At 37.1% G+C, this 13,210-nt stretch overlaps 1 protein-coding gene across 6 annotated transcripts in view; it reads left to right on the top strand.

Annotated features, from left to right (window-relative positions):
• Nucleotides 1-13,210, top strand: part of ATAD2 (ATPase family AAA domain containing 2) — a 96,501-nt gene that overhangs the window by 40,356 nt on the left and 42,935 nt on the right. For all 6 annotated transcript variants that reach the window (XM_047421723.1, XM_047421722.1, XM_011516994.4 and 3 more), the window contains 6 exons: nt 3,309-3,358; nt 4,160-4,325; nt 4,657-4,759; nt 5,005-5,092; nt 5,971-6,174; nt 6,820-6,937. In XM_047421723.1, the coding sequence (XP_047277679.1) occupies nt 4,300-4,325; nt 4,657-4,759; nt 5,005-5,092; nt 5,971-6,174; nt 6,820-6,937 (539 nt within the window). In that variant the 5' untranslated portion in view covers nt 3,309-3,358; nt 4,160-4,299. The remainder of the gene's footprint in view (nt 1-3,308; nt 3,359-4,159; nt 4,326-4,656; nt 4,760-5,004; nt 5,093-5,970; nt 6,175-6,819; nt 6,938-13,210) is intronic.

Below are 13,210 nucleotides of genomic sequence, written 5' to 3'. Positions count from 1 at the left end.
AGCTGGGATTACAGGTGCCCGCCACCACGCCCAGCCAATTTTTGTACTTTTAGTAGAGACGGGGTCTCACCATCTTGGCCAGGCTGGTCTTGAACTCTTGACCTTGTGATCCACCTGTCTGAGCCCCCAAAGTGCTGGGATTACAGGCATAAGCCACTGCACCCAGCCACTAATTTTTGTATTTTTAGTAGATATGGAGTTTCACCATGTTGGCCAGGCTGGTCTTGAACTCCTGATCTCAGGTGATTCACCCGTCTTGACCTCCCAAAATGCTGGAATTACAGCGTGAGCCACTGCGGCTGGCTCAGTACTTCTTATTGTTGAATAAGAGTCAATTGTATTGATATACCATGTTTTGTTTATTCATTCATTGGTTGGTGAGCATTTGGATTGTCTACTTTTTGGCCATTATGAATAATGATATGAATGTAGGTATACACATTTTTATGTGGAGGTAGGTGTTAGTTCTTTTGGGTATACACCTGGCAGTGGAATTGCTGAGTCAAATACTAACACTAACATTTTGAGGAAGTAGCATACTTTTCCAAAACATTTACAGCATTTTACATTCCTACCACCAATGTATGAGGGTCTCTACATCCTCACCAACACTTGTCATAGTCTGCCTTTTTGGTGTTCGCCATTTTAACAGGTGTGAAGTATCTCACTGTGGTTCTGATTTACCTTTCCCTGATGGCTAATAATGTTGAGCATCATTTTATGTGCTTATTGGCCATTTGTATGTCTTCTGTCAAGAAGATTTCCTGTACAAAAATCCTCTCCCTACATTCAGGTCATTATTACAAATAGTGATGATTATTTTACGTAATGGTAACATCAGTGTCTGTTTGCATAAGGCTTATATAAAAGAGCCTACAGTATTTCTGAGTCCTTTTTCATATACTTTTCCTGTTTCTTTTTCACTGTTGTCAGCATGCCTGACTATAGAAATCTCTTTATTTCCTTCCTTTCCATTCTTTTTTTTACTCTTTGTTTTCAATCTACTTGAGGCTCAAAGACCAGAGGATCAAGATTGTTAGAAAAAGACAGAAAGATATGAGTAACTGTGTCATGAGGGTACGATCTACATACTTACTTACTTGATCCTGGGGTTCTTAACTAGGGTCCAGTGATTAGGTATAGTCTTCGCAGAGTGTACACAAAACCTCTGAAGTAATGTTTAAACTTGCGTATACCGTAGCTTTCATCAGATTTGCAGCGGTTGACAAACTCCAGCTGCATATTTTTGTAAATAGTTTCCTTGGAACACTGCCATGCCCATTCATTTTGTATGTGGCTCCTTTCACCCTATAATGTTAGGTAGCTGTGACAGAGGAGACTGTATGGCTTCCAAGCTTAAAATATTTAGTGCATAGCAATTGAAGGAAAAGTTTACCAACCCTTGGAAGGTTGCTTTCCTCCTGCAGGCAAAAAGAAGACAGTAGGGGTGGGTGGTTCAGAAAAATAGTGCTTTAGTCATTCTGTTCCTAGCATCTGAAAGGGGCCTGGTTTATAAAATGTATAGACCTACATGGTATGAAGGGAGGAGCTCCTTTATGAGAAAAGTCTGTGAGCCTTTGAAGAAACTAAGCCTTTACCTGTAGATGAACTACTCAAAAGTTTGTTTGTTTGTTTGTTTTTGAGATGGACCCTGTGCTCTGTCACCCGGGCTGGAATGTAGTGGTGCAATCTTGGCTCAGTGCAGCCACTGCCTCCCAGGTTCAAGTGATTCTCCTGCCTCAGGCTCTTGAGTAGGTGGGACTACAGGCACCTGACTGGTTTTGGTTTTGTTTGCTTGTTTGTTTGTTTGTTTTTAACTAGAGATGGAGTTTCACCATGTTGGCCAGGCTGGTCTTGAACTCTTGGCCTCCCAAAGTGCTGGGATTACAGGCATGAGCCACTGTGCCCAGCCAAAAGTTTTTATTTTCTTCTTAATTCTTACCTGTCTTCCAAGAGAGATGAGGAATTAATGAAGACTTACTTTGTTAATGAGAATATATAAGTTAACTCATCAGGGAAAGATGGTTTTATTTTACTTTAAGTTGTAATATTTGAAATTCCACATATAAACCAGCCCACTTGCAAATAGCTTGATACATAGGTTGATTAACAGATGCAGCCTAAGGATGGAAAATTGAGTCACTAAAAACAAATTAATGGCACATACTGTTTTGCTTAGTAGATTTTTTTTTTTTTTTTTTTTTTTGAGGCGAGGTGTCACTCTGTTGCCCAGGCTGGAGTGCAGTGGCGGGATCTCGGCTCACTGCAAGCTCCGCCTCCTGGGTTCACGCCATTCTCCTGCCTCAGCCTTCTGAGTATCTGGGACTACAGGCGCCTGCCACCATGCCTGGCTAATTTTTTTGTATTTGTAGTAGAGACGGGGTTTCACCCTGTTAGCCAGGATGGTCTCGATTTCCTGACCTCATGATCCACCCGTCTCAACCTCCCAAAGTGCTGAGATTACAGGTGTGAACTACTGTGCCTGGCCTATTTTTTTCAGTATATTTTAAGTTTTTAGGTATCTTAGTATTTGTTCTCCAGGCTGATTTAACTTTTTGTCTTGTTTGTAGTATTATAGAATATAAGAAATACAGTTATGTCTTGTTTGTAGTATCATGGAATATAAGAAATAGTTATGTCAGTTATAGCCAGGTATGGTGGCTCATACCTATAATCCTAGCACTTTGGGAGGCTAAGGTGGGAGAACTGGAGAACTGCTTGAGGCCAGGAGTTCAAGACCAACCTGGACAAAAAAGCGAGACCCCCCCCGCCCCATCTCTACAAAAAAATGTTAAAAGTTAGCGGCCAGGCGTGGTGCCTCAAGCCTGTAATCCCAGCACTTTGGGAGGCTGAGGTGGGCAGATCATGAGGTCAGGAGATCGAGACCATCCTGGCTAACATGGTGAAACCTCGTCTCTACTAAAAATCCAAAAAATTAGCCGGGCGAGATGACAGGAGCCTATAGTCCCAACTATTCGGGAAGCTGAGGCAGGAGAATGGCGTGAACCCAGGAGGGGGAGCTTGCAGTGAGCCGAGATCGCGCCACTGCACTCCAGCCTGGGCGACAGAGCAAGACTCCGTCTCAAAAAAAAAAAAAAAAAAGTTAGCTGGATGTAGTGAGGTGTGTAGTTCTACCTACTGGGGAGGCTGAGGTGGGAGGTATTGCTTGAGCCCAGCAGTTTGAGGCTGTAGTGAGTCATGATTGTGCCACTGCACTCCTGTTGGACGATGGAGTGCAATCCCATCTAAATAAATAAAAATAAAGTTATGTCAATTATTTTGAATTAATCTAATTTTTTAAAATATAGGCAGTTGGCCAGACAGCAGGCTGATAAAAAAAAAGAAGAGCACAGAGAAGGTAAGTACTGTTAAAGTCATTTCAGATCTTAAAATGTGTAATTAATATTCTGTTTACAGGTTTTTTGAGGTACCTACAATAAATTTTACATGTTTAAAGTGTATAATTTGTTAGGTTTTAACGTAAGTATATGCCATGAAGCCATCACCACAATAAGATAGTGAAGGTAATTATTACCCCCAAAAACTTCCCCGGGCCGTTTTATAATTCCTCCTGGCTCTTCTAGCTTCTCTCCTCACTCTTTGACACTACTCCCCACCAGTTTCCTGAGCAAATAATTTCATTGGAACATAGCCGTGACCATTCATTTTAGAATCTGTTCTCTGTTATTATAGCTTAGTGTGTATTATCTACAGTTTTATATAAATGGAATCATACAGTATTTATTCTTTGTTTGGCTTCTTGCAACTCATCATAATTGCTTTGAGAATCCATGTGGTCACTTTTTTGTTGATGAGTAGTATTCCATTATATGGATATACCACAATTTATCTCTTCACCTTTTGATGGACTTGGGTTGTTTCTGGTTTGGGGCTATCACAAAGCTGCTTTGAACATTCATGTACAAGTCTTTGTATTACATATCTTTCCTCTTCTCCTGGGAGTAGGTGGGCTCAATCTTATGGTAGGTGTATGTTTTAACTTTATTTTTGTTTTCTGATGTTTTTAAGAAAGCTAAGTTTAAGATACTGTAATTTTGTTACATGAAAGTATAGCTTTTCAATTGTTCATTTTAGAATTGTTTTATAAATACTATTATTTCAAATGTTTCTATTTATTTTTATGTATGCATTTGTGAAGACAAAGTGATTCCAGTTACTCGGTCATTGAGGGCTAGAAACATCGTTCAAAGTACAGAACACTTACATGAAGATAATGGTGATGTTGAAGTGCGTCGAAGTTGTAGGATTAGAAGTCGTTATAGTGGTGTAAACCAGTCCATGCTGTTTGACAAACTTATAACTAAGTAAGTAAAAATTCCTTAGATCAAGATGATTTATCTGTCAGAGACTTTTTGTTGGGGAGGAATCATGGATTTCAACCAGCCCAAACATTTAATGCATTCTACTACGTAAAGCGTACAGGAGAATGATTATCAGAGGTCTTTGTGACAATTCTGTATATGTCTCTATTCTTGGAAAGAAATTTTAAAATATTTTTATACAAGTAAATCAATGCTTCTTATAAAAATATTTAAAACCTTAGTGCCAAAAGTTTGCAATGGAAGAAAAATAAAGTTTTTAAAATTCTGCTACTCTTTTACAATTTTCACTTACATTTATATCTTTTTTTTAAAGCACTGCTGAAGCTGTACTTCAAAAAATGGATGACATGAAGAAGATGCGTAGACAGCGAATGAGAGAACTTGAAGACTTGGGAGTGTTTAATGAAACAGAAGAAGTAAATATATTCTTCCATTAAGGGAATGATTTAATATCCAGTTTAATTTTTTTATAGTACCTAATCCATTTTTCATTAAATATCTACTTTTTCCAGCATTTATTTGATCAGTCATTAGTTACTGCTGGAAATGTAAGAGTTTATGGCTGTAAATATCTTAATTTTAAACAAGATTGGAGGATCCAACTTAATTTTTTTAATAAATAGATTCCAAATGTTAATGGCTTTTATTTAAACATTTTTAGAGCAATCTTAATATGTACACAAGAGGAAAACAGAAAGATATTCAAAGAACTGATGAAGAAACAACTGATAATCAAGAAGGCAGTGTGGGTTAGTCTCTTCTCTTGTTCTGTCTTCTGGGATTGAATTTAAGAACTTTTTATTTAGTAGAAAATAGCCTTTTTAGCTAGAAGGTGTGACATTTATGGTAGTTTGTGAGAGATCAGAGGATTGGTAACTTAAAAGTGGGGAAAGGGGAGAGCTTAAGAGGATAGTATGTTTTGTTTGGGAAAGTAACTGAAATCAACAATCTAAAGCCAATAATATTGGTCTGCTTATGTAATACATCCACTATGGACAACACACTGTATATCTCTTTTTTAGTTTAAAGGTGATTAAAGTTATGTTTTGCTATTCCATTTAGGACTTAATTACCATAATCTATTAGAACTTATCTTAAGTGAAAATCAGTTTTCTGAAATGCATTTTAAATGTTTGGTGAGCATGTTTTACCATAATCATAAGTAGATTGAGTTATGCAGCGTGTAACTCCATGACAGCCAGATGGGCTGGGTGAAATGTCAAACTTAAGTTTAGAAAGCAAAAGCTTAATGAGGAAATTTGAAAACTTGTCAAAAAGTTATGTTAACTTGGAAGCTTAAGTTTAGTCACCTACATTAATGAAATTCATGGAAAGACTATAAATTTTAGTTTGGTGCTTGCTTAACAGTAGCCTTCAAACTTCTTTCTCTACTTCCTTTTTTCCTTCCTTGTGTTTTTCTGCAGTTTTTTAATGTTGGAAAAGAATTACAAATACTTCCCATGAACAATCTAGGAGTAGATAAGTTTGGTTTTTTTTTGTTGTTTTTTTTTTTTTAGGAGTAGATAAGTTTTAAAAGGGTGGATCTTTCTCTCCCAACTCACCTATGTTAAAAATTGTTAACATTTTGCTGAGTATCTTTCTGGAAGTAAGGATCTCTTAATTGTAGAGTCATCTGAAGAGGGTGAAGACCAAGAACATGAAGATGATGGTGAAGATGAAGATGATGAAGATGATGATGATGATGACGATGATGATGATGATGATGATGATGAAGATGATGAAGATGAAGAAGATGGAGAAGAAGAGAATCAGAAGCGATATTATCTTAGACAGAGAAAAGCTACTGTTTACTATCAGGCTCCATTGGAAAGTAAGTGCTATACATACTCTTTCCAGGAGATGTAATTATATTAGCTTTATATTTCCTGTTTCTTCTCTGTTATTCTTGTCTTTTTGGTATTTTTCATATTTTCATTTTGTTGAATACTCATTACTGTTGTCTTTACCTATCCTAAGTTTGTAACAAATAATTTCTCTGAAGAAAGTTAAATGTTTGCCTTGACCAAAGCAAATAACTGGGCTATTTTTGAATTTTATATCTGTCTTTACTTTAGACTGCACAGCTTTCTACTTAATTTATTTTGTCAGTTTGTATAGAGATAGGACTTCTTTTGATTTATGTTAATATTATACCACAGTACTTGTGAGCATTAATATACAAGGCTGATAATCAACCTGTTACACATCTCTACAGTCACAATGGTTGTTTATGGCCTGTGTGTGTTTTGGTTGGTTGGTATCTGTGCTATACATGTTATCAGCTGCAACCCTCTGGACATAAATGACTTAAAATATGAACAGCAAAATATTCCATAGTAGATATTTACTAGTACTTCATGGAAGGCGATAAGCACCTTTGTAAGTATTTAGATGAAGAGCAAAATTATCTTCATACATATTTGTATGCCATATATATATATATATACAAATATATATATATATTTCTTTTTTTTAGAACCTCGTCACCAGAGAAAGCCCAACATATTTTATAGTGGCCCAGCTTCTCCTGCAAGACCAAGATACCGATTATCTTCCGCAGGACCAAGAAGTCCTTACTGTAAACGAATGAACAGGTTTGGTTCTGATATAGTGATTGATTTATGACAACATAATTGTTTTTATGTTAGGGCTGGACTCTAGACTTTCAGGATTGGGTGTATTAGGATAAAATTCTAGAATTGTGTATTTGGGAGAGCTTAGTTTCTATACCTTTAGTAGTCTAATCCCCAGTACCACTGACTAGTTTTTGCTTTTGCTTCCACTAATAGGAGGTGTTAGTAACTACCGTAGTAAGGTAGTTTATTCCATTTTTCCACACTTTAATAATAGAGCAACCTTAGACTCAGGGTTTACTGTAGTCCTGGCTCTGTGTTAAGCATTTTACGTAGATTGTTTCATTTAATCTTCACATTAAGTTAGAATATAGGTTTAGTCTTTTCTTTGCATACTATCACAGATGCATTTTCCTACCATGTCAGATGTTCTAAGCTACATGGCCTCTAGACCTTTCATGACTCTGGTTATCTTTTTCTGGATCTATTTTATAATTTATTCCTCTTCTGTTGTAGGAAACATTTATTTTCTTTGACTATTCAATATTTGTGGATTTCTTTTCCTTCTACATCCCAACAGTTGTTCATTGGTCAAATTTAAGTCCAAAGAGATAATTCTTCTATTTTTATTTTATTTATTTATTTTGGGGAGGGTGGGGGCGGAGCAGAGTCTTGCTGTGTTCCCCAGGCCGGAGTGCAGTGGCACGATCTTGGCTTACTGCAACCTCTGCCTCCTGGGTTCAAGCGATTCTCCTGCTTCAGCCTCCCAAGTAGCTGGGACTACAGGTACCTGCCACTACACCCAGCTGATTTTTGTATTTTTAGTAGAGACGGGTTTTCACCATGTTGGCCAGGCTGGTCTCAAACTCTTGACCTCAAGTGATCCACTCGCCTCAGCTTCCCAAAGTGCTGGGATTACAGGTGTGTGCCACCACACCCGGTCAAAGAGATAATTCTTGATACTTCCTCATCAATGCATTGGAATAATCATTTTGGTAGTTCATGAATGAGAGAGAAGACTAAGAAACCAGGAAAAAAATTTTATTTGTATGGGGAATGGTAATTTTTTTCCCTTAATATTAGAATTTTCTCAGAAGTAAGACCGAAGCCTTAGGATATTTCAGTTATTTGAACAGTTCTTGGAAGTTTTCTCCTAGAGACAGACCATCTGATCATGTTTTGGTCATGGAAGCAGCACCTTTGTAAGTGCTGAAGGTTAATTTCTTTCAGGAAAAATAAAAAATACTATTTGTGTCCCTAGGTCTTTTCATTTCATTGTAGGAATCACAAGTGTACATCTAGATTTCTTATTTCATCATCCTATTTCACATGACCAGGGTCCAGAAGGATGGAGGATCGGGAAGACAAACTCAGTCTCTCAGGGCTTTTCAAGATTAATTGCACTTGAAAGGAGGCTGCACATCAGTATTCTCACAGGCCCCTTAGAATGTAAAGACCTCTATTTTGGTGGTGAAATGTAATGATCTTCAGAAAAGGAGAGGAAGGTATAGTGTTCCCTAGAATCCCCACCACCACCAGGCACAGGACCAAGGCACTGTTATGGTTACCTAACTCAAGGGGTGGATCTCTGTTTGATCCAGCAGTACTAAGAGGGTGGCAGCTACTTTGGGATCTTATTTCTTCTCCCGTTTTGTTTTGTTTAAGAGGAAATCTCACTCTCTCGCCCAGGCTGGAGTGCAGTGGCGCGATCTCGGCTCACTGCAACCTCCGCTTCCTGGGTTCAAGCGATTCTTCTGCCTCAGCCCCCCGAGTAGCTGGGATCACAGGCGTCTGCCACCATGCCCCGCTAATTTTTTTGTATTTTTAGTAGAGACGGGGTTTTCACCATATAGGCCAGGCTGGTCTCAAATTCCTGACCTCAGGTGATCCACCCACCTTGGCCTCCCAAGTGGTGGGATTGCAGGCATGAGCCACTGCACCCGGCCGAGTTATTGGTTAGATTCAAAGTGCTGGTCCAGTGTTTGTGGGTGTCAGATTTTTAATTGGCTTTCAGTAAAATGGAGATTGGGGGATGAGCACATGTAGACAGATATGTGTGTTTAAATGTTTTTTATTTATTTTATTTTATTTTTGGTTTTTGTTTTTCAAATTTAGGAAACATTTTCCTATGAAAATGGATTATACTGACTTGCCTCAGCCCCTCTTTTCCTCTTTTTTTTTTAAATTTTTTATTTCCGTAGGTTTTTGGGGAGCAGGTGGTATTTGGTTACATGAGTAAGTTCTTCAGTAGTGATTTGTGAGATTTTGGTGAACCCATCACCCAAGCAGTATACATTGAACACAACTTGTTGTCTTTTATCCCTCACTCCCTTCCCACTCTTTCCCCCTGAGTTCCCACAGTTCATTGTGTCATTCTTATGCCTTTGCATCTTCATAGCTTAGCTCCCACTTATTAGTGAGAACACATGGAACATACGATGTTTGGTTTTTCATTCCTGAGTTACTTCACTTAGAGTAAGTCTCCAATCTCATCCAAGTAGTTGCAAATGCCATTAATTCATTCCTTTTGATGGCTGAGTAGTAGTCCACTCAATTGATGGACATTTGGGTTGGTTCCACATTTTTGCAATTGCGAATTGTGCTGCTATAAACATACGTGTGGAAGTATCTGTTTCATATAATAAGTTATTTTCCTCTGGGTAGATACCCAGTAGTGGGATTGCTGGATCAAATGGTAGTTCTACTTTTAACTCTTTAGGGAATCTCCACACTGTTTTGTATAGTGGTTGTACTAGTTTACTTTTCCACCAGCAGTGTAGAAGTGGTCACTATATACACACCAACATCTATTATTTTTTGATTTTTTGATTATAGCCATTTTTGCGGGGGTAAGGTGGTATCACATTGTGGTTTTGATTTGCATTTCCCTGATCATTAGTGATGTTGAGCATTTTTTCATATGTTTGTTGGCTATTTGTATATCTTCTTTTAAGAATTGTCTGTTCATGTCCATAGCCCACTTTTTGATGGGATTGTTTTTTTCTTGCTAATTTGTTTGAGTTCGTTGTAGATGCTAGATATTAGTCTTTTGCCAGATGTATAGATTGTGAAGATTTTCTCCCATACTGTGGGTTGCCTTTTTACTCTGCTGATTCTTCCTTTTGCTGTTCAAAAGCTCTTTGGTTTAATTAAGTCCCACCTGTTTATCTTTGCTTTTATTGTTTTTGCTTTTGGGTTCTTGGTCATGAAACCCTTGCCTAAGCCAATGTCTAGAAGGGTTTTCCTGATGTTATCTTCTAGAATTTTTATATAGTTTCAGGTCTTAGATTTAAGTCCTCGATCCATCTTGAGTTGATTTTTGTATCAGGTGAGAGATGAGGAACCAGTTTCATTCTCCTACATGTGGCTACCCAATTATCCCAGCACCATCTGATGAATAGGGTGTCCTTTCCCCACTTTATGTTTCTGTTTGCTTTGTTGAAGATCAGTTATTTGATTTTATTTCTGAGTTCTCTATTCTGTTCCATTTGTCTGTGTGCCTGTTTTTATACTAGTACTGTGCTGTTTTGGTGACTATGGCCTTATAGCGTAGTTTGAAATCAGGTAACGTAATGCTTCCAGATTTGTTCTTTTTGCTTAGACTTGCTTTGGCTATGCAGGCTTTTTTGGTTCCATATGAATTTTAGGATTGTTTTTTCTAGTTCTGTGAAGAATGATAGCTGGTATTTTGATGGGAATTATGTTGAATTTGTAGATTGCTTTTGGCAATATGGTCGTTTCCACAATTTTCATTCTACCCATCCATGAGCATGGGATGTGCTTCCATTTATTTGTGTCATCTGTTATTTCTTTCAGCAGTGTTTTGTAGTTTTCCTTGTAGAGGTCTTTTGCCTCTTTGGTTAGGTATATTCCTAAGTATTTTATTTTATTTTGCAGCTATTGTAAAAGGGGTTGAGTTCTTGATTTCATTCTTAGCTTGGCCACTGTTGGTATATAGTAGACCTACTGCTGATTTGTGTACATTGATTTTGTATCCTGAAACTTTGCTGGATTTTTTTGTCAGTTCTAGGAGTTTTTTGCAGTAGTCTTTGGGGTTTTCTAGGTGCACAATCATATAATCAGCAGACAGACAGTTTGACTTCCTTTTTACTGATTTGGATACCCTTTTATTTTTTTCTCTTGTCTGATTGCTGTGGCTAGGACTTCCAGTACTATGTTGAATAGAAGTGGTGAGAGTGGGCATCCTTGTCTAGTTCCAGTTCTCAGAGGGAATGCTTTTAACCTTTCCCCATTCAGTATTACGTTGGCTGTGGATTTGTCATAGATGGCTTTTATTACATTGAAGTGTGTTCTTTGTATGCTGACTTTGCTGAGAGCTTTAATCATAAAGGGATGCTGGATTTTGTTGAATGCCTTTTCTGCATCTGTTGAGATGATCATGTGATTTTTGTTTTTAATTCTGTTTATGTGGTGTATCACATTTATTGACTTGAGTATGTTAAACCATCCCTGCATCCCTGGTATGAAACCTCCTTGATCATAGTAGATTATCTTTTTTGATACGTTGTTGGATTCGATTAGCTAGTATTTTGTTAAGGATTTTAGCATCTATGTTCGCAGGGATGTTGGTCTATAGTTTTCTTTTTTGGTTATGTCCTTTCCTAGTTTTGGTATTAGGGTGATACTGACTTCATAGAATGATTTGGGGAGGATTCCCTCTTTCTCTACCTTGTGGAATAGTGTTTACAATGTTTTTAAACTGAAGTAATGACCTTTCTACAGTATAGAGTAATTGCTAAGAACCTGGGCCCATGACTAGGACTGTCTAGGCTTGGAGCTCAGCTCTACTAGTTATTAGCGGCCTTTGGCAAGTTACTTAACTCTGTTTCAGTTTTTTTTTTATCTGTAAAGTGAGGATAGTAGGACCTATCTCATAGTATTGTGAGAATTAGATGAGTTAATACATGTAAAGCATTTAAAATAGTGTCTGCCATACATTAAGTGCGGTATGTATTTGCTATTATAACTGTACTTCGATGTTTAAAAATAATCTCCATTTTGCAAATCAAATGTCAGAAATTTCATGTTGGTCCACAGGTTGTGTTATTGTTTGCTTTTAACTTTATTGGTTTATGAAATTAAAAAACTGGAAATCATCAGTATAGTAATGTATAGAATGCAGATTTTTTGAATAAACATATAGGTTTGAATTCTGACACTATCAATGACAGATTCTGATATTTTGAGTAAATTATTTAACCTGGAAGCCACACTGGCCCTAACTGTAAATTGAGCCTACTAATAATCCACTTTTCCAAAATTTTAATTAAGATTAAATACTATATCAAGTACATGGTACAGAAAGCAGTCAGTTAATGTTAGTCTTTTTTATTAATTGGGAGGTTAGTCTGAATTCTGTGACTACATAGTGAGTTCACATAAAATTATGTGAATACATTAAAGTCTAATATTCATGGTAATAATGAATAAGTTAGTTTTTCATATAAAGTTGCAGACTTGTACTGGATATAATAATTTTAGTTTCAGGCTGATCACAAAGATGGTCTTGGTGTATTTGGGTAGGTGGATGGGTGAAAGATTATTTTCTCATTTATTTCTGTGTTTCCACAACCCCTTATCCAAAACCCTTGGAAAACCATTTGTGTTTCAGAATTCAGACTTTTTGGCTGGATTTACAGATAACACACAACATATGTAGTGTGGCAACATTAACATCTCTAGGGTCTCCAAGCCAGCACTGTGTGGTCAAATACATTAATTAATAATTCTGTAGTAAAACATATGAATAATCATAGTAAGTGGGACAAAATAGAAACTAAAAATTGCCTTGTACTATGTCAGGTTATGATTTGCTGCAAGTGAATAATGGAATAACTTCCGAGTTTTTTTGATACACGTTTCTGGAACTACATTATGCAGATAATAGATTGTGAACCTTTTGTATTTTTGGAAATACTTACTTACCATCATTGCACTCTGACTCAGAAAAGTTCTAGACCCTGAGCAAGTAGAATAATTAAAGTTCTTCCCAACCAGACTCTTTGTTTTTTCTGTGAGTCTTTTGCAACCATTCAAAGGTAGAAGTGATTAAAAATTTTCTTGTATATTTGTAATATCTGGCATCTTATTTAATAGTACCAACCAGCCTAAGTATTTGATAGTATTTTTTTCTTTTTTGTGAGCAAGAAAACTTATGGGTTGAGTAACTCATCCACATTTACACAGCTGTTAAGTGACAGTTGTGAATTTACAGTGGATGGTATACTGTTGATAAAAGGCCATCTTATTCATCACTGTTTCCCAGCATTTAAA

Source organism: Homo sapiens, chromosome 8 (genome assembly GCF_000001405.40).
Source record: "Homo sapiens chromosome 8, GRCh38.p14 Primary Assembly".
NCBI lineage: Eukaryota > Metazoa > Chordata > Mammalia > Primates > Hominidae > Homo > Homo sapiens.
This window is presented reverse-complemented; position numbering and strand designations above follow the sequence as displayed.